This window comes from Homo sapiens, chromosome 4, assembly GCF_000001405.40.
Source record: "Homo sapiens chromosome 4, GRCh38.p14 Primary Assembly".
Classification (NCBI taxonomy): Eukaryota; Metazoa; Chordata; class Mammalia; order Primates; family Hominidae; genus Homo; species Homo sapiens.
In genome coordinates, this window is record NC_000004.12 from 74,214,452 (window position 1) to 74,236,939 (window position 22,488).

The following is a 22,488-nucleotide window of genomic DNA, read 5'->3' on the forward strand; positions in this document are numbered from 1 at the left end:
TTCTAACAGGCCCCTCTGCTGCAGGTCTGCTGGAGTTTGCTGGAGGTCCACTCCAATCCTTCTTTGCCTAGGTATCACCAGTGGAGGCTGCAGAACAGCAAAGATTTCTGCCTGTTCTTTCCTCTGGAAGCTTCATCCCAGAGGGGCCCCCGCCAGATGCCAGCCACAGCTCTCCTGTATGAGGTGTCTATTGACCCCTGCTGCAAGGTGTCTCCCAGTCAGGAGGCACAGGGGTCAGGGATCCACTTGAGGAGGCAGTCTGTCCCTTAGCAGAGCTCGAATGCTGTGCTGGGAGATCCACTGCTCTCTTAAGAGCTGGCAAGCAGGAATGTTTGTCTGCTGAAGCTGCGCCCACAGCCGCCCCTTCCCCCAGGTGCTCTGTCCTAGGGAATGAGAGTTTTATCTATAAGCCCCTGACAGGGGCTGCTGCCTTTCTTTCAGAGGTGCCCTGCCCAGTGAGGAGGAATCTAGTGAGACAGTCTGGCTACAGCAGCTTTGTTGGCTCCGCCTCCTTCAAACTTCCTGGTGGCTTTGTTTACACTGTGAGGGGAAAACTGCCTACTCAAGCCTCAGTAAATGGTGGACTGCCCCCCTGCCACCCTGAACAAGCTCAAGCATCCCAGGCCGACTTCAGACTGCTATGCTGGCAGTGAGAATTTCAAGCTAGTGGGTCTTAGCTTGCTGGGCTCTGTAGGGTGGGATCCGCTGAACTAGACCACTTGGCTCCCTGGCTTCAGCCCCCCAGAGTGAACGGTTCTGTCTCACTGATGTTCCAAGCGACACTGGGATATGAGAAAAAAACTCCTGCAGCTAGCTTGGTGTCTGTCCAAACAGCCACCCAATTTTGTGCTTGAAACCCAGGGCCCTAGTGGCGTAGGCACCCGAGGGAATCTCCTGGTCTGCAGGTTGCGAAGACTGTGGGAAAAGCGTAGTATCTGGGCTGGAATGCATCGTCCCTCACATCACAGTTTCTCACAGCTTTCCTTGGCTAGGGGAGGGAATTCCTCTACCCCTTGTTCTTCCTGGGTGAGGTGATGCCCCACCCTGCTTCAGTTCGCCCTCTGTAGGCTGTACCCACTGTCTAACCAGTCCCAATGAGATGAGCCAAGTACCTTAGTTGGAAATGCAGAAATCACCCACCTTCTGCATTGATCTCGCTGGGAGCTGCAGACTGGAGCTGCTCCTATTTGGCCATCTTGCCAGTCACCTTCTTGTTACTATTCTTAACTTAAAACTAAAAATTCCACCCTCACGAGCAGATAGCAATGTATAAAACACAATGCAAATGAGAATAGTGAAGAAAAAGGGGAGGAGAGGGCTGGAACTAAAAATAGAGCCAAAGACTTTTACTAAATATAGGCATATTATTAGGTCTGCATAGATACATTCCTACTGTCAAGCATACTGCATTTTATATAATGGTGCTGAATGTACGTTTGGTGAATTTATTTAATTGAGTTTGAACTAGATGTGCTATGATTGGGTCACTAATTTTATCCTGAGAGCTTGTTAGCAGGAAAAAAAAAAATGACAGTTATCCAATGAATTGTCTTTAAGATTAAAAAGAAACATGTGCTCAATAAAAATAAAACATTTTTCTAATATTAAAACTAAAGTATTTCTCCTAAGGGATTTTATAAACAGAAAACTATAAAATAAATTGAATAATATTCATAAAATGCTTGTTAACAAAAGGGCCACATTTTATAGGGCAATTTCCTTTATCATTTAAGCACAGATTAAAGCTACCATTGGCAACATTACTCTTCCTTCCCTAAACATTTCTTCTCATTCTCTGTTTCTGGGACATTCTTTTCCTCCCAACTTTTAAACCAGCAGTTCTCAACTTTAGCTGCCCACTAGAATCATCAGGAGGCTTTAAAAATAGAGCTACCTATGCCCAACACAGATAAAAATTAAATCAGAATCATTAGAAGTAGAACTTGAGTGTCAGCAAGTATATTTTAGAAGGCTCCATGGAAAAATCCCAGTGTGGTCAGTGTTGAGAATGATTTCTCAAGGAAACATTGGAATGACACCAGGACTTTTTTATTCATAGCCAGTCCCTCAGTGGGCCTTTGCAGCCCTATAGCTTTAAATATCATTTCTATCTCCTGTATACTTTAGACCATATAACCACTATGCACTTGAGAACTCCAGTTGCATGTCTAATACCCATCTCAATCTTATATGCAAACCTTCACTCCTAATTTTACTCCCCTTAGTTTTCCCCATCTTAGTTGAGTGGTACCATCAGTTTTTCTGATTGATCAGTCAATCCTTGACTTCTCTCTTTCTCTTACATCCTTTGTCTAATATTAGCAATCTGTGTAAAATATGCCTATGATATCACCACCTGGACTAATAAGATCCTAGTTAAGACAACTTCTATTTCTCACTTGGAACACTGAAATATTTATGAACTAGTTTCCCTGCATCCACCCTTGTCCCATCTTTCATTCACAGTCTGTTTTCCACATCATAGGTCTTGATCACCCATGTCTTCCTGTAACACCCATGACAACATGACACCAGAATAACATCCAGGTTCCTTACCACGATATGCAAGACCTTATATGATCTGTCCCTGGGCTGTATCTCCTAACTCACTTCCTACCATTCTCATGCCCCATCACTGACCCCTGCCCTAGCCATATCTGCTTTCCTGGAATATGTCTTATGTGCTTATTTCTCAGTGTCTTTTCACCTGGTTTCCTTTCTTCCTGAAATGCTTTTTTTCCTCAAGTTACTTACATAATGTATTTCCTCACTTCCTTCAGGTTTTTGTCCAAATGTTACCTAGGGTTGCCCCTGACCACCTTACCAAAATTGCATTTAGTGTCTATAGAGTTTCTCTGTAGAAAGGTTATTTTTAGTTTGTTTTTATAATTTATGTATTCATTGCTTAAAGATGCAATAGTAGCTTGCAGAGATAAAGAAATATTCAAATCTAGAATCTTTTGGCTTCATTTGTCTAAAAGAGATCTCAGGCTTCTTTTTTTCCATTGCTGTTCTGTGCATGATTACTGAGTTTTCCTTCCTGTGATTTTCTCTCAGTGATTTCTCCTTTAAACCACACCGTGACATGAACTAATATATTGGGAATGACTCAGATTTTCCGTATCCCGAGAAAGTGACAAAGCAAAACTCTATATGTGAGGTTCTAGCTCAGATTGGTTTGCCATTTTGCTTTACCTGCTGATTCAGGATCAGGCAGATGTTTGAAGATTTGCCTCATGGGAAAGGAAGTTGAGACTTATTTTGTGTTTCTGTTGAAGACAGATCTAGAATCATGGTAGAAGCAGCAAAAAGGTAGACTTTAGCTCTTATCATGAAATTTCTTACAGTCAAGACTAAGTAATATGCTCTCCTCATATTTTTTTGGAAAGTGGTTTATCAGTGGGAAAGGATACAAAAAGCATATTTAAAGGGGAATTGAAGCAGAAGTGAAAGAAATTTGTACTCACATTAACAATCTGTCTTCCCTGACACCTTCACCTGCCCCATGCCCTTCTCAGATGGAGTAAATAATGATGCTCTTGACAACACTGTAACTTCTACCTCCTTCTAACATGGAACCTAGCACACTGTATTGTGATTCTTATTTGTGTACCTGCTTTCCATATGAGAATAGAGAATTGTGTATTCTCATTGCCTAGCATGATTCTGGTATGTTTTCTATACATTTTTTTTTTAGTCATGATTTTTAGTTCTTTATTCTTCAATAAAATGAATTATTTTCCAGAGACAATAGTTAGAATGCTTGTGAAATCTTTCTATAAGTAAAACAGAAGAATCATGTTTTCAGTGATGGCTGTAGAGTTGCATAGGAAAACATCTTACTATAGGAGTAAAAGACACAGAATCCAGAGTTGAAAGCTGGCACATGGACAGTGCTACTCATTGCCAGTCTTACCGGGAACATTCCATAGGGTCTGGTTTTTTAGCTTACTCAGCAAATAACTATTTCATTCTGCTCAGAGTGAGGCTAGAGAGCCACTGAAAAAGTATATGCAAGTTTTGCAAGGGCGCGGCCAAGACACAACCAGAGAATCCTGTTTAAGGGATTTATAGGATCATTTATTGATTATTGAATAAATGAAGGTAGGGAATGGCCCGGAAATGTCCAAGAACAGTGAATTCCTCATTAAGGTAATTTCAAGCCCCCCCCCCACCACCAAAAAAATGATACTAACAAATGAAGCACATTGTGCTGTTTGTTCTAGCTTTGTTTTTTTATAAATAGCAAATATTATTTGCTTCAAATTGGCATTCTGTGCTAATGACTAACAACTGTTTGCTAGTTAGAAAACTGCTCAGGTGGGTCCTAGTTGATAATTCTTGGTTGAATCTAGATTTTTACACAATAAAAAACATATCTTGTCTACCTATTAATTACTGATTTCTAAGAAAACTCTAAGATTCTAGAAGATAGAGTCTAAGTACAGAAGCCCTCTGTATCTGTGGGTTCCACATCTGTGGATTCAACTATCTATGATTAAAAATATTAGAAAAAATATAAATAACAACAAAAATAATATAAAAATAGTATAAAACTATTTACATAGCATTTACATTGTATTAGGTATTACTTATAATACCTAAGTAATAAGTAATCTAAAGATGATTTAAAGTGTGTAGGAGTATATGCATAGGTTATATGCAAATACTATATTATTTTATATCAGAAACTCGAGCATTTGTGGATTTTAGTATCTGCCAGTGCGGCAGGTGCCCTGGAACCAGTCCCTCCCAGATACTGACAGATACTGAGGGACAACTGTATTTTATTCTTCCTATGTCTTAGAAACATATTATAAAACACTAGGCACAAAATAGTTACTTATAGACTCTGCTTATCTAGTTCTGTGTGATAGAAAATGAGGCCCTAGCCCACAGTGTTCTCATATGCACTCTAGAAGGATACAACTGTGAGTGTGGGAAAAAGTCATCTGAAGGTCAGAGATATGCATCACTCTTGAGTACCTGCTGCGACTTGCTAGTACTAGCTGCCCTTTGGAAAAAGCTGAGAAGACAGAAAAAAATTAGGTGCAGCAAGCCAGAGGATTAGTTGAAGACAATTAATGGACGATAAGAATTGAATATAGGAATGACAAGAATTTTCACATGCCAAGGAAGATGAGTTAAATAAGAATAGGTTTAAGAGGAAAGCTAGGTGTCAGGACCAGGAACAGGCATCCAGGTGCTCACCAGCAAAGGTCAGAAGAGTCTGAGGCATTATTTGAACACATTTGCTTTTAGCTGTTTGGTTCACCTCTCTTCAACATCAGGTCTTCCGAATAACAGGCTGAATGCCTTTCCATGGTTAATATTGGTATAGTCATAAACTCTGATCAATCAAGTTCAAATATGACTTGGATAGTTTCTACGGACATCAACAACCAAACTGACTGAGGAATATCAAGTTAACCTGATAGTATTGAAAAAGGAGTGAAATTACCTACAAGGGTTTTCCACGCAGATTGAAATTTATCCTGATATACTTTTCTTTTGCCTGCAACTTTACAGATTGTTACTTATATGTGTGTACAAATCACTGGATTTCATGTCTCTGTCAAATTCTTGATGAAATAATCAGTACTGATGGAAATGGGAAGTTTCAGTTTCATTTTGGTTTTGATTTTTTTTTTTGGTAGGGATTTGGGAGGCTCTCATTTGGAATCAGAGAACACTTGAGTGGGTTGTTAAGGTATTAAGGAACATTTTCAAATGTAGGAGGCCAGGACTAAAACAGAGATGGGTGGGTGCTTTATAATTTTGATAACCTTGGGATGGTTATAAATATATACTCAACATTCTTGAGGGTTTATAGTGAGTGAAAGAAAGAGAATAACCAAGGGAGACTTTTAGACTTTTACTGTAAATAACTGGGCAGAAGGTGGTACCAACTAAAATAAAAAAGGCTGCTAGTTGCCTCTCATTGTTCTTCCTTTTCAAAGTTTTCCTAATTATCTTTGATTTTTCTATATTAACCTTAGTATCAAATTACATACTTCCAAAAAGTTCATTTTTATTGGACTTTGATTATATTTTTAATGAATATAGGTGGAATTCTAATCTTTATGATATTAAACATTCCTATCCAAGGGCATAGTTTATCTTTCTAGTTTCTTGGTCTTATTTATATCTTTTGGTGTTATTCTGGAGATTTTCTTTTACTACATAGATTTTGCACATTTTTTGTTATGCTTATTTTAAGTATTTTATCTTTTGTACTGCTATTATAATGGGGCCTCTTCTTACAATGTATTTTCTAAGATGTTATATATGAAAGCTATTTACATCTGTATATTTTATTTTTACTTGATTAATTTATTGAATTATCTCAATGTTTCTTATTGTAGTCTGGTTTTTCAGATTTATCAAGTACATTTTAACTTTTATGGTTTTTTTTCTAGTTTCATTTGTTTATTGTTCAATTTCTACAGTTAAATGATTCATTTTCTTATTTCTGTTTTATTGATATAATAATTTGTCCACAATTTTTTTAACATTGCTTTATATTTATTTTATAGGATCTAATATGAAGTGTTTTCATTATAAATCTTTCTAAAAATTTTGCAATGTTGTTTTGTTTTATTTTGACCCAAGAATTATTTAAAAGAATTTTTAAAAACTTCCAATAGAAGGGTCTCCTTATGAAGGATCTTTTTTTTTCCGATTTTGTCAATAATTATAATTTTACTGAGTTGTAATCAAATAAAATTATAGTCTATCTAATTATTTACTTTTTGGTATTAATTAAAATTTTCTTTGTAACCAAGTTTATACCATTTGCACATGAGAAGAAAATGTATTATTTATTTTCTGAGTTTGATATAGTCATATATATAACATTAGTTAAGTTATTGACATTTTCTGTATCCTTGATCTGTCATGAACTGAGAAAGTTATTCAAAAATAAATTAAACAAATACAATATATTTTGTTTCTATATATATCTCCTGTAATTTCAGCTTAAAGGAATTCTATTTCTTTTTCTTATGTATATATTATTTTTCTATCTTTATTTGAATCACTCTTTTACTTTATAATGTGTGCCTCTTTGTTTTATTTAGTGCTGAATTTTTGTTTGACAGAAAGCATTATTTTCTGGCATTTTCCTGCTACATGTTTGCTTTCAACATTTCTAAATTCTGAATAACTTTGTTTTATGTGTATAATGTATGCTGTATAGAATTAGCAAAACATATAATTAGATTTTGCTTTGTAAGTCAATTTGAAAATATTGTTCATTTAAATAAATGACAAGGAAATTTATATTTGTTTTTATGATAAATATATATGGTAAAACTATCATATTATTTTCTGTTCTGTTTATTGTTTTTATTTTTTACAGTTTTTTCTTTGTGCATTAAAAAAATATTTAAGAAGGTTTTTATTACCTTAATAATTACAACATTATATAGTACTCTTAATTCTCTATTTATTTATAGGGTGGCTACTGATACTCTAGTACAATAAATAAATGATAAAATGTTTTTATTTTCTCCCCTCATTCCTTTTGTCTCCGACCTGCTATTTGCCAGTAAAAATTATTTGAAAAATATATATTTTTTTATTTTTTACTTTATACTTTTAAATGTTCTTATACTTTGATTATCTGGTTGGTCAGCTTTTAAACATTTGTTGATTCCTGTTATTACATATTAGGCAGTCAACAAACTTTCTCATCTTTGCCCTTTCTCATTCTAATTTTGGTAGTTGCGTTATTTCTGCATAGTAAAAGCAAAGACCATTTACATTTGTCTGCGTTTTAGTCTGTTTTGTTCTGCTATAGCAGAATATCACAGACTGGGTAATTTATAAAGAATAGAAATTTATTTCTGAACAGTTACAGAGGTTGAAAGTCCAAGATCAAGGTGCCAGCATCTGGTGAGGGCCTTCTTACTGCATCATCTCATGATGGAAGGCAGAATGGAAAGAGAGGGCAAGAGCAAGACAGAAGTGGGCTGAACTTGTTCATTTAGAAGGAACCCACTCCTGCAATAACAGCATGAATCCATTCATGAGGGCAGAGGACTGGTGTCCTAATCACCTGTTAAAGGTTCCACCTCTTAATATTGTTACAATTGCAATTCCATTTCAACATAAGTTTGGGAGAGGACAAACATTCAAACCATAGCTGTTTGTTACCCCAATCCTCACACTTTTTTAAAGTCTTGATCCTATAATCATAATCAAAACTTTTAGCAGTCCTTTTGCTAGTTTCCTCAGACATACTTTGATTAAGTAAACTGTGTCTTTTAGCATGTTCCTTAGGAAAGACTTATGGGAACAATATTTCCTGAATTCTTGCATTTTCAAAATTGTTTGCAACTTTTAATCTTGGAGGCAGATTTGACTGGCTATAAAATCCTTTACTCTCATTTTTTTACATGAATCATTTGTAGATACACAATGAGATACCATCATCTCACACCACAGTCAGAATGACTATTATTAAAAAGTCAAAAAATAACAGATTCTGGCGAGGTTGCAGAGGAAAAAGAATGTTTATACATCATTGGTGGGAGTGTAAATTAGTTCAACCATTGTGGAAAACAGCAGGGTAATTCCTCAGAGACCTAAAAACAGAGCTGCCATTCGACCCAGCAATCCCATTACTGGGTATACACCCAAAGGAATATAAATTGTTCTATCATAGACACATGCAAACGTTCATTGCAGCACTATTCACAGTCACAAAGATATGAAATCAACCTAAATGCCCATTAATGGTAGACTAGATAAAGAAAATGTGGTGTGTGTGTGTATATATACACACACACTACATACACACACACACATACACACACCATGGAATACTATGCAGCTATAAAAAAGAATGAGATCACATCCTTTACAGGAACATGGAGCTGGAGGCCATTATCTTTAGCAAATTAATACAGGAACAGAAATCCAAATACTGCATGCTCTCACTTATAAGTAGGAGCTAAATGATGAGGGCAAATGGACACAGAGAGGGGAACAACAGACACTGAAGCTTACCGGTGGGTGGAGGTTGGGAGGAGGGAGGGAATTAGGAAAACTAATTAATGGGTACTAGGCTTCATACTTAAGTGATGAAATAATCTGTACAATAAACCCTCGTGACATGAGCTTACCTATATAGCAAACCTGCACATGTACCCTTGAACTTAAAATAAAACTTAAAAACAAATAAAAATAAATAAATATTTTTGTATAATATTTGGTCATAATGTTCAACTTTTCCATGACATTTTTTGTTGAGTTTATTGGTACATTGCTAAGTTCTTAAATTTTTTTTGCCTTTGTTTTGCCTTTTGTTTTGGTTCTGACACTTTTTAAATGTATCTTTCTATTGAATTTTTAAAAATTTGCATATGGTAAAATTTACTCTTTTTGGTGTGCAGTTTCATTAATTTAGACAAATGCATGTAGTCATCTATTAAGTTAATTAGTCTAACACCACTAGAATCAGAACAGCTTCATCACTCCCCAAATTCCCCTGGGTTTGCTCTTGCATAATATCCTTTTATTGATGCTGTGTCACATCCATTTTTATTACTCATCATTGAATGAGTTGGATTTTTTAGATCTACTGTTTACAGGACACTTCTGCTGGGGGTTAGAGGAGGTCCTGTGCAGCCTTCTGACTCCTTTATTACTTTCACAGAGTCAGATTGCTTTCTTCTAAAATAGCCCCTCTATGTAAGTGTGTTCCCACCCACTCTAAACTATACTGGGTCCCGGAAGGCTCTTCTGCCTTTATTTCTATTCTCACTGCCCCAATTAGGAAAGCTATATTTTTTTGCACTTTGGGATAAACTTTTCACAGAAGTGTATTTTTGCAGTCAATTTCAGAGATCTGCCGCTGCCGGCCATGTTGTCATTCTCCGCATTTCTTTGCTGCCTTTCTCCCTGTATGGTATCTACTAATTGCTGCTTTTGGTAACTCTTAACATGTTTTTGGAGTCTGTAGAAATTAGGTCTTCCAGTTTTTCTAAAAATGGTGATCATGTAACTTTTGTTGTTTTGGTTAACTGTGTAACATTTGCACATCTTCCAGGAGAAGACAAGATGCAGTCTTAGCCGTATTCTTACCAGAAATCCTCTTGACTGCACTTTATCACCAACTTTCCCTCACTCTCCTTTCATGGCTCACACTTTAAATATTGGAATCTCTTGCCTCTCTTGTTCTTTCAACCCTCCCTTAAGGCTTTCATATAAAATCTTCCTGTGATGTACCATAACCTGTGACAAAAAAATTTTGCTATTTTCCAAATACCCACTTTCAAAGTTGGTTAGTTTTTTCCTGCTATTCTTTTAGCTTGGAATGCCTTTTTCTTCCTTACCTGATTAGAACACTTCTGCTCATGCATTAAGACCTAAAAAAATGTATTTCCTCCTTTAGGAATCCCTCCTAGACACCTTCTCAAGACAGAATTAATCTCTCAGTTATGCTCCCACAATATATTGTCCCATTTTTTGTTCACTTACCTTATTGCTTTTATTATTTGTTTGCTTGTCATTATGAAGACAATGAGTATCCTGTATACTAATGTATTAAGCAGTCAACACAGAATTTTCAAATTCTGTATTTCAGGGACTCTACTTATAGCTCTCCTGTGATGATCGGCACTTACCCTAATTTGGTCTCATTGATTTTCCTTTCATTTAATTGAAGGGTACAATATTTTGGTTCCTCTTGGTTTTCTTGTATAGCTTTTGTGCTCAAAGTGATTTAGTCATGTCAAAGTAGCCTTTCTATTCTTAGGAAATAAGTGAAACTCTTCTGGATTTAGAGCATTTATAAAATTTTTAAAAGTTCAGTAATCACTGATAGAAATTCTTCTGTATTCCAGGTGATGCAACTGTGACAATAGCTCACAGATACACCCCCAAAGAGCAACTGAAGATTCATACGCAGCTGGCAGATATTATCATAGTTGCTGCAGGTAAGTCCTTAGTGACTGTTATTTTTTGGAATGTCATCAGCAGAATAATTCCTGCCCTAAATGCTGACATGTTTGAAAGCTTTTTGAGAGAGTTAGCTTTATGTATGACTAACTTCTGTTGATTGGATTCTGTCTCTTGGCAATCATTATATCAGTCCATTGTGCCTATGTTAGCATTTGTTACTTCATTATGGAAAACCCAAACAGCTTTTGGGATGACAGATTAAGCACAAGAACAATGTGCACTTTGCTAATTGCTTTGACGAACATGGTTTAACAGCATTTACGGAAAAAGGTTGGTGCAGGTAAATAATACATTGTAGCTATGGAGAACAATAAAACTTGTATTTTCAAGTTGTATCAAGGAACATAGAATGTTCAGGTGAGGGGAAAAGATAGTCACTATGCTGCCCTAAACACAGCCAGGCTGAAGAATTATGTTCTGAAGTCTAGACTTTAGGGGAAAAGTTGATGGATGAGACCATGTCCAAAGGAGAGTATCTAGGATAAGAATCTTTCCAAAAAAGATGACATATGAAATTTGGTCTGATGAACTGAGGATGTTTGGTCTGGAAGAAAGTATGACCTAAAGAGATACAACAACTTTTTTTTTAACATAAAGAAAAAACCCAAGCCCAAACTTTTATAATAATAAAAGCTGCCTCAAAGTCACCAGTTCTTGAGATAGTAAGTTCCTTATCACTACAGTGATTAGCAAAATAGATAAAAACATAAGTGGCATTTCATAGAGCATTATTTGTCAACGTTTATTGGATTTTGCCCCATTTTGGTTGACAAAAAAAAAATCCCCTTTCAACATTATCAAAATATTTCAATAAATTAAACAACATAGCTAAAAATGCATGTAAACAGTTGTAATTATTTTGAGCATATGTTCTTTGGGGAAGGAATCACATTCTTTCTTTACTCCCTACCATTTAAAGGACCATTGCAGAGAATGTCTGTCTACTGAGTACTAGGTTGGGTTCATTGTGTTTTAATACTTCCTTCAATGATGAGACTCTTTAATTCTCTATTTTAATATACAAAAGAAAGCTTTATGGAATATATGTATATGTATACTTATTATATTTCATAAGATTAAATTTCTTTAAATTTGTTTGTGTTTTCCTACAGGGTAAGTTAACAAGAAAGATATTTTAGAACATAGAAAAGGCTGGAATATGGGGCTTGTGTATGGATAATTCACTTACAGATATTTGAGAGTTTATCATTTACTCTGATTTTAATTAAACGTGTACTTTTGAATAGCAAAGATAGTACTAAATTCATTCAATTGAATACTAAATTCATTCAATTGAATATTATTTATTCAATAAATATTGGACCCTTCCTATGCAGCAGTATCTGTTTTAAATTTTAGGAATACAGCAATGGATACAAATGATGAAATGCCAGCCCTCGTAGAACTTACATCTTAGTGGGAGAGAGAGCAAATAAACAGTAAAATATAATGCCAGATAATGATAAGTGCTATAATGAAACTGGATGAAGGAATAGTGTTTTGGGGATACTGTTTTAGATTGATTGATTGGTGAAGATCTTTCTTGGGAGGTGACCTTTTGAGTAGAGTTCTTGTCCTGGCCATTCTCCATTTGTCCACCAGCCCCAGTGTCTGCCCTTCCCTGCCCTGGTCTGGCCCTGAGAGGCTGACTAATGAAGATGGCCTCACCTGTGTTCCTCTGACACTGGCTCCCAGCAAGGTTTGGCACTAGTAGGATATCTGAAGGAGAAGAAGAGAAATGTCAAGTCATGGTGTTTCTTCTCTACTCTTTTCCACTTCTACTGTCTTTCTCTTCCTCCTGCATCGATAGCTTTTGCTCAGCATCCTTTCCCCGACAGCTAAGGCTCTCACTGGGCTGCAGTAACACCATTTCCTCACCCCTACAGACCTAGGAATGGTACAAGCTTCCTCCAGTTTCTAATCTCTAAGAGCTGCAACAGCTTTTGTTTTTATCTTAGCCTGAATATATCGCTGTAAAAATTATTTCATTACTATATGGGGTGGATTCTGTTTCCCATGGAGATACCGACAGAAGCAGATCTGTATGAAGTAAAGGCACAAATCAAGAACCATTCCTGGGGGAAGAGCATCCCGAGCAGAGGAAACAGCAGATACCAAAGTCCTTAGGCAGGAGCATGCTTGATGTATTCCAGAACACAGGTCTTTGACGGCTTATTATATTACTCTGATTTTAATAAAATATTAATAAATTATGAGGATACTAGTAAGAAATGTTGTTGGGAAGGTAGCCAGGGTTAACTCATGAAGGACGTTGTCGGCCATGGTTAGGATTTTGATATAAGCCAAGAATGGCTGACAGCAGATCAACATGGTCTGACTTAGGTTTTAAAGGACTGATCACACCTTTAAAAACATATCAGACCTCATGTCTGCAGTTGTGTCAAAAACTGACTTTAGAGGTGTAAAAGTAGAAACAGAGAGGAGAGGTATTGCAATTTCATTTAATGGGTCTAGATTTTGCTCTAATTTGTTTTGTATTTGAACACATAGTTTCAATCAAATTTAATAAAATATCTGATTCTTCTATAGGCCCTTTTCTGGAACCTAGAACATATACATGACTGCAGGAACAGTAGTTGGCTCCTCATAGAGTAAAAATAGAAATGTTCTTTTTCCCAGAAAAAAAATCAGTAAGCTGGTACAGATAACCATACCACATTGCCTGTTTTTCCAAAAAATTACATTTGGGTGATATCAAATGCAAATTTTTGAACTGCATTGACAGAAGTCAGGCATGTTTAGAGAGTTAGTAAACTTTTTCAGACCACAGATCAGCATTAAGTGAAATACTGCTTCAGCCACTGATACCTTCATGGCAGATAAGTATTATACTGACTTCTTTTTAGAGACACTTCTGTTCACACACAAGACACAGAATTTGTTGAATAAAGAGGAATTTGAATGCTCATCTTTGTCCGTTTCTAACCTTAGGAAGAATGAAGTTTACATTATCCTTAAAAGGTATTATTTGACTAATGTTAACAGCTTGTACAGAATATTTGACTATTGTCCTTAGATAACATTTATCAAATATTATATTGAATGAGTATTTTATTCTAGTGGAGGAAAATCTCTCATCATGCCTTCCTACTCGTGGTTTGTTTTATTATTATGACAAATGGCACATGGGTGATCACAATCCACTTGCAAGAAACACTGATATTCTCTTGTAACTAAGTCAAAGCTTATGCCATAATGCCAACACTGTTGTCCTCCTTGAGTTTATCCTCTCTAGCTTTCTTTGTAAAGGCCTAAATCAGCCTTGAGTACAGATATTTAAAAAGAAGACAGGAAAAGAAAAAGAAAAGGAAAATAAAGGAACAGAAGGACAAGGAAGACTCAAGCCTATATAAAATAAACAAGACAGGAGCCAGGAGGTACTCAAGCTTTAGGTGTGGTGGGTGTTGAGGCTGTCCCACAAGCATCCCGCTGAGGGTATTTTCTTACCACCAGAGGGCGCCAGTCAGGTGAGCAGCTACTTCAGATGTAGCCAAGTTGGCCATACACCATGCTAATACTAGTTAGAAGACATTTTAAACAAAGACAGTGGGAAGAAGTCCTGTTCCTTGCTTTTTTATTTCACCTTTAATGCCTCTTACTAAATACAAAAGTATGTTGAATGTAGAAGACAGATTTGTATGTAGTTCTGCAGTCTTCTTGAAGAAATAAATATTTAGCCAATGGGAAATTTAGGGGAAGAAAATTGAGAATTTATAAGAAACAACTAAAGATTGCTACATTTCCAGTTAATTAATAATCACCTGGAGAAGTTAGGGATAAAACATGTAGGCATTTATAAATTATAGAAAGAATGTGAGTGAATATAAAAAATAAATCCCATATAACCAGACAATAGGAATAAAGTATTGCCAGAATGACCATATCATGCATTGTGTGTGGGAACTAAACAAATACAAATAGCAGTGGGTATTTAAAGGAAATAGTGATCTAATGGCAGAGGTAGCCAGAACGGGGAGGGCTAGATCACTGTCATAATGAGAATGTCAGCATATATGGAAACAACCTCATCTAGGAGAACTCAGGGTAGAAGGAGGAGGATTGCGTGATATATATCAGAAAGAATGATAATGTCTGAGAGATGAGAGTGAAGAATGTGGTAATGAAATCTTGACACAAGCTTGAAGAAAGTAAAAGAGGAAATCCTGTGTGAAGATCCTGAGACATGAATATTAGCTTATTTAATATTAATGTCATCCCTCCAGTTTCTCATAGTACTACTCCTACTGGCTTATATATCACTCACCTTTTTAAAATTGCCCCCAAAATTGAGATTTAGACTCAGTTAGAAGCTTAGATCTGCAGAATCAGACCCTGTCACACTATGCAATTAGAAGTAAGTAGCTTCAAGTCCCTACTCAAAGCCAAATCTCTGAGTTCACAGAGAGAGTTAACAAGTTTCTAGAGTACTTTAATGTACCATGGTTATAGCACATAGTACCTGTTTATAGTTGTTATCTTCATTAGACTACAGCAGGTAAAGGCGTGGTATTTTTTTTTAAGCTTGCTAGGTAAGTGCTTAGAACAATATCTAACACATAGTGGTTGCCCAGTAAATGTGAGCTGTGTTGATTTTGAGATTATAACTACAATAAGAACTTTTTCAAATTGATACATATTTAGCCGATATAATCTAATTTTTTAAGATGGAATTATTCTAGTTGTTGGATTTACACACTGTAGCATTATTTTTGGGAACTACCAAATTATTCCAGTTTGTCATCATAAAGTAGTTGCTAAAGCAATAAAAAGTGAAATATTTATTCATGAAAGAGTAGTTCATGTCATTAAGTGTATGAATGGAGTGATTTAGGTGTAAATGTTAAGATTAAGAAATGATGGGAAAGGTGGCCGGGTGCAGTGGCTTACATCTGTAATCCTAGCACTTTGGGAGGCTCAGGTGGGTGGATCACCTGTGGTCAGGAGTTTGAGACCAGCCTGTCCAACATGGTGAAACCCTGTCTCTACTAAAAATACAAAAATTAGCCAGGTGTGGTGGTGGGTGCCTGTAATCCCAGCTACTCAAGAGGCTGAGGCAGGAGAATCACTTGAACCCGGGAGGCGGAGGTTGCAGTGAGCCGAGATCACACCACTGCACTCCAGCCTGGGCAACAGAGCAAGACTCTGTCTCAGAAAAAAAAAAAAAAGAAAAAAGAAAAAAAGAAATTATGGGAAAGGTGAAGAAAGAGTAAGGAGACTATTACATCTAAAGAACAGTAAGAGTACTGGATGGTTGAAAGGGGAGGAGCAGTTTAGGGAAAGGCTAAATCAGCTTTGCACAAGCTACTGATAAAGAAGGGAAAGCTAGCCAGTATCAATTCTAAGATCATGTTGGAGATCATTGGGCTTTCTCGTATCTGCTTTAAGGAAACTGTAGGCTATCCTAAGTCTGTAAAATTCTAGGAATCTTCATTATTCAGCAGGATAGGCAAGTTTTTTTAGACATTGTCCACATTACCCTCCACCCATCTGAGTAAACTCTGAAACTATATTCAGGAAATGAGCTGCTGAGTCAATGCCACTTGCATGTCAAGCTCTGGATGCAGTGTCACGGTGGTGAAAGCTGGCATTTTTGGCCACTAAGCCATCCCTTCCAGCATGACGAATGAACCTTCACAGTTGTAACTTTAGAGTGTCTATTGCAACACTTTTAATGACAGATACCATGATATAAAACAGGATAAATGGGCAATTTAGTAACTCAGAATATTCATACTTACTTGTCATAAAGTACAAAGTGACCAACGAATTTCCTTTCACCACTTCTCCAATCATATTATCAAGTCTTAGAAACACTCCCATCAAACATTATCCTAGGGCTCAATAGGGTTTTCCCCCGGGTGTATTTCCTCCTCCTTGAAACAGGGTTCGTAATTTTCAGGAAACCAGGACATGGAGAAGTTCCAAGGGGTGGGGCAAGGAAATAGCTCCACCATCCCCACAGCTCATGCAACCCGGGAGTACAACTTGCTCACTTACGGCCCTGAGTGCTTCCTGAGTGATGCCAGCACATTTCATGGCTTCACTCATACTATAGTCCTTTCCATATCTCATTTCTTATTTGTTATTGTCCAGCTTGTCCTCTTTTGCTAGCCTCTGCTACTCCACTTAAGGGTTCCTTCCCTCCTTCCTAAAAGTTGTCATTATTTTCATGGTACAGAGTAGTGAAAATGCACAGGCCTTTCTAAAGTAAGAATTCCAGGATTTAAATTCCAGCTCTGAGACTTGCTGATTGTGAGCTTGGTCTCATTTCTGAATCTCAATCTGTTCATTGATGTGATTTAAATGATAATAATAAAAGTAACCTTTCATAGCGATGTCTACTTTATATTTTTGATCTTAACTATGCTGATCTAAGTAGAATTTCCCATATCTAAAATGATGCCTTTTACTTATTGAAAGGCATTTTAGTGTGGTTTATGTGTAATACCAAATAAAGAATATTTAACACTTCTCAAAAAAAAACCTTTTGCATAGTGTAATCAAGCTAGCCAATCCATGTAAAGAGCATAGCACAGTGCCCAGTATATTGCAAATATTCAATAAGTGTTATGTGTTAATGTATTCTATGTTAGGCATTGCATGTGAATATTTAAACAATTTAGAAATGATAAATCAGTTGATTATTAAGCTACAACTTAGCATAACTAAAAGAATATACTTCTTGGTTGCTTTTGATACTAATACAGTATCAGAGTAGAGTAGTTCTTATAAGCATAAATAAATTAAGAAGTGACTTACACATGAGGGACCAACTTTATGGAAACTTTATTTTTATACTTAAGATGTATGCCTTCTCAGGATGACATCAGCACTTGTTCATAGATGTGTATTATGTTGTTCCCTGGATGAATTCCTTATTGCCTCTCCCTCCTTTGGAACAACCTGACTTTGAGAGGGGAGATAGGGAAGGCCGAGGCACTTAGATGAAAGGGATTTTTTTCTCTCAGGCCTTTATCCACCGTCCCAGTCTCCCTCTCTCTCTGTTTCTACCTCATCTTCCCACCTCAGGCTATTCTGGCCCTCACAACCCATGCCCAAAGCCTAAGTTACTAAGTAAGCAAAGCTTCCCTGGCCTGCAGTGAGCTTTGTCAATACCTGAGAGGGCAGCCTGACTACTGATATTTTTCTTGGTGTCAGTAATACATCCTTACTGCAAAAACTTAGAAAACTTGGACAATAGAGAGGGAGGGAAAGAACCTTAATCCCAACCAAAGTGAAATAAGGTAAACAATTTGATGTTTGACCTTGTACTGTTTTATATTTATACATAGATCTAAATATTTAAACAATTCTTTTGCCTTGTATATACTATTTGTATTTAGCAGCTCTACACCATGTACGTGCTTCTTCATAAAATGCTTTCTTCCAAAACAGACTTCTAATGACTCTATAGTATTGAGTGCTATGGATATACTAAATTTTATTTATTCAGTTCTTGACTATTGGACATTTAGATAGTTCCCTGAGTTTTACTGTTATGAATAATGCAGCAAACAGCTGTAAACATCTTAGATTATTTGCATCGTAACCCATAATATTTATCGTATTGGTCTTAAGTTTATTTTCTTAGTAATTATTACTTATATTCTAAAAACAAATGAACATTTAAGCTTGGTGTATAATAAAGGCTTACACGTGTGTTTAATATTAAAGCATATTTCATACCTTACCTGTGCATTTATGTAAAGTTTTAACAGAGAGAGGAGATAGCTGTGTCTCGTTTGTAACCCATTCTCCAGGCCTGTTACCATTACCAATCAGTATACTATGAAGCTTTAGATCCTTATCTTTCCACAAGAGAAGATAGAAGCCTAGTGTGTGGGGAAGGGGACTCAAATATGAAGTGGGGTGTAGTATCAAAAGAAACGTGGTCTTTAAAGTAAAGAGGGTTTGGTTTTAAATTCAATTTTAACTTTAAAAATCACATCTAACTCTCTGGGCTTTATTTTCAGCTATCGCAAAATGGAGGTAGTAATACTAGTGTTTATAAACTGTCATGAGAATTACATCCTTAGCACATAATGGCTACTAAGTGAAGGTAGTTTCCCTTCCCTTCATTCTCCTATTGTGTGGTGAGCTCCTATTGTGTGGTGAGCCAATCACTAAAATTACAACATGTTTTAAATGAAAATATATGAAAATTTATTATCTATTATGAAAAGACTTTAACTTTCTAATACTTTGGTAATATAGACTGTACAAAAACATGTACAAACTTTTATATGTTTCCTTGCTCGTTAGCCTCAAATAAGCAAAAACATTTTTCCAAGATCGATCACCTCAGAACCATCACAAAGTTTTATTTTTTTTTCTTCATTTGACTGAGACCCTTGTGTTTTTCTCCTCAACTTGTTCTAATTACAGGGACTTTTGAAAAGGGGGAATCTTTTCATCTCTAGGTTTTTTCAATCTATGGTATTAGTACATGGTTAGCTGAGGTTGATTTTTTTTCTTTTGAGGCTCTTCTCTCAACACATATATATGTACTATTTCTGATTTTTCATGAGTAAAACAAGCATTGATAGCAATATCCAAAAAAGCTTCAGTAAAGAACAATTTATATCAAAGATCTTTCTTCACTGTGGAGAATCACAGACTTCCTTGGAAATATACTTTAGATGGTCAAATGATACATCATTTAAACTTAATTCTATTTGGGTCCATGCATGTATATCATGGGCTTGGGAAGAAGTGAGGTTCTTCCTTTCAAGTTATGTCTGTAGCCTTTGATATTATCACTTTGTTATATTTTTATGTCCAGGTCTTTAAAAGGTTTATGTTAGGAAATACTTAAATATACCCAAAAGTGTATAAGAATAATGTTAATTAAAACGTTAACACTTATGTTATCAATACCTAAATTTGACAGATGTGAATATTATGTATATTTTCAATCTACCTGTTTTATATTTCTATAACTTGCTTTGTTTTGACTAATGCTATGACTTTCAAGTTTGCCCATGCTAATAGATGTAGCACTATTTCTATAATACTCAATTGCTGAGTATCCATTTTCTGTTGATGAATATGTATGCTATTTCCAATATATTGCTATTATGAACAGTTCTGTAATGTTTAAGTTTATACATATTTTCTTGGAGACTCATTCATTCATCCATCCAGCAAACACTAATTTTGCCACTGGTACATATTAAGCCATATAGCAGGCATTAGAAAAATATATATATATAAACTTGGTTCAGCTCTTGAGAAGTCCAGACACTAGTGGAGGAGAAAGATGTGCAAACAAATTAGTGTAATACAGCTTGCTAGTGCAATATTAGATACATGTATGTATGTATATGTACATGTCTATCTGTTTAGAAAAGGAGACAGTGTGTGTGTGTGTGTGTGTGTGTTTACGTGTGTAAGAGACACAGATAGATTGAAAAATAAAAACAGAGAGAGAGAGCATCATTGGAGAGGAAGTAATAGCTCTTTTCCTCTGACTCTGAAAAGTACATGAATGAGTCGGGTTTCATCCCACAGAATGAACAGAAATTCACTAGGCAGAATAAAAGGCAATGAGACTTCTGGCAGCTTAGAGCTATAAAATGCTATGCATATAGCAAAGAAAATATTTACTCTTTCAAAATGACAGGTGCCTGTCTGTGAGTTGTGAAAGATGAAGCATAACATTTAGGAAAAACCAGATATCATAATAAATTAAGAAATTTTAATTTTATCCTGTAGGTCATAGGCAACCTTTAAATAATTAGAAGCACTGAAATAACATCATATTTGAATTTTAGAAAGATCACTTGGATAGCCCCTGTGCAGGGATAAAACTGGAAGTAGCATTGATGTAGTTCTACACTAATACAGGAGTAGATGAAAGTGAGAAGGAAAAACAGGAAGTAGACTAGAAAGGCTTACTGGCTTTAGAGACTAAGTATATGGTGTTGCCATTAACAAGGAAGGTATATAGAAAGGAAGCAAAGTTTGAGAGAAGTAAAGATGAGTGAGTGGGAGGAGATAATTAATTCAATGTGAATGTGTTGAGTTGATGACACTAGGTGTTATATTCAGGTGGAAAAGTCCAGGAGAGGGTTGAGATATGTGGGTGTGGGGTTTGGGAGAGAGCTCTGTTCTGGAGTGATAATTTTGGAAGTCATTAATATCAGGGATATTGGACACGAATTCATGGATAAAACCATCTAGAATAAGTCTGTTTATAGTGCATGGACTGAATTTCTATTTCAGACATCTTTGAAGTGTGTTGGTTGATATGGTTACTTCTATAACATTGCCTTCTTGCTTCTGTATACCTAGTGCCAATGAAAGATAGCCTATTCTTATTCCAGCATCTACTTCAATTGATCGTATAAGAAAAAAACTGGTATTTTTATGAAGCTTTGTTGTTTCATACCTGTTGTTCTTTTGTTACCCCGACCTTTATCGGCTTGAAAGCATTGTTTGAGTAACATGAGAGAATGTATTTGATAAACCAAAATGTGCCATATAGTGGAGACAAAATTGTGTCCTAAAAATAAAATGATGGACTTTACTTCATAAATGTTTAATTTTTTACATGTAAAAGATTAAATTTAAACTTCTTTAATGTAATGTAAACTTCTTTAATAAATGTTCCCAGCAGGCAGAATTTTTTGTTTTTGCTTGCATTTGTAGTCTTTGCATACTGGATTTATTGTGACCATCTAATGCTCAGTTAATTTCTATTATCTGACTTGTCCAGGTTACCAGCTTGATCTGATTTTTACAGTTTTATTGCTCACAGCCTATTATATCTTCACAGCACTTTTTTCTGTGACCAACAGCCTGGTTTTAGTAACTCTGGATTTCCCATGTCCATTATTTGATTATGTTAATGCTTTCTAAAACACAAATAAATTGTTTTCTCAATTCCTTATGGCTTGATTTTTTGATTTCTAAACTAGATTGCCTAAATTTTGCTTGAAACATCTATTGACTTATTCACTGTTATTCTTTAAAAACTAGGACCTGAAAACGAAAGTTCTACATGCAATGGATGTGCTCGCTAGTTTTTTCTAGCCATCCAGTGTATTCTCTATGGTCTCACCTTGTCCTTTATTCCTTCACACTTGTGGTATCCATTCAACTTCCCTGGGGCTCAGGTCAAGGCAACTTATGACACGCCAGGGTCTACATTGCTAGTATGGATTGAAAGCTTTCTGTCTCTAGCTCAGTCATGCCAGTAAATGATTATCTCTGCATGAAAAACAGGATAGGCTTCACATATCTAATAGAGAGTGGTGCGTAACGCACATATATTTTTCCTAGTGTGTCAGTAGATGATTAAAAATCATATTTTAACTTTTATGTGCCTTTTTGGATATGTCCCATGAATATTATCACTCACTTCATCAAGAGACTCCAATAAATGCTATCTGAAGTTACACTGAGGAGGAGGTATAAGGCATTTTTCCCCACTATACTTTCAGTGGATTTATCTCTTTTTAGGTTTTTTTTTAAATAAACCTTACTTTTATGGGATTA

The 22,488-nt window shown here is 35.9% G+C and overlaps 1 protein-coding gene across 20 annotated transcripts in view, besides 1 other annotated feature; it reads left to right on the forward strand.

Annotated features, from left to right (window-relative positions):
* Nucleotides 1-22,488, forward strand: part of MTHFD2L (methylenetetrahydrofolate dehydrogenase (NADP+ dependent) 2 like) — a 188,540-nt gene that overhangs the window by 99,892 nt on the left and 66,160 nt on the right. For 18 of the 20 annotated variants that reach the window (NR_147097.2, XM_047415712.1, XM_047415715.1 and 15 more), the window contains one exon: nt 10,851-10,943. Coding sequence is in view for 18 of the 20 variants with exons in the window: in XM_047415712.1 (XP_047271668.1) it covers nt 10,851-10,943 (93 nt within the window). In the remaining 2 variants the exon portion in view is untranslated. Of the gene's footprint in view, nt 1-10,850; nt 10,944-12,570; nt 21,877-22,488 lie in introns of those variants that run through there. The other 2 variants (XM_017008222.3, XR_001741223.3) reach the window with 2 other exon arrangements.
* Nucleotides 14,347-14,416: a silencer, noted in NCBI's record as "silent region_15477". NCBI's record gives its function as "represses an Ori minimal core promoter by ATAC-STARR-seq in GM12878 lymphoblastoid cells {active_cell/tissue: GM12878}" and the evidence as "EXISTENCE:reporter gene assay evidence [ECO:0000049][PMID:35858748]".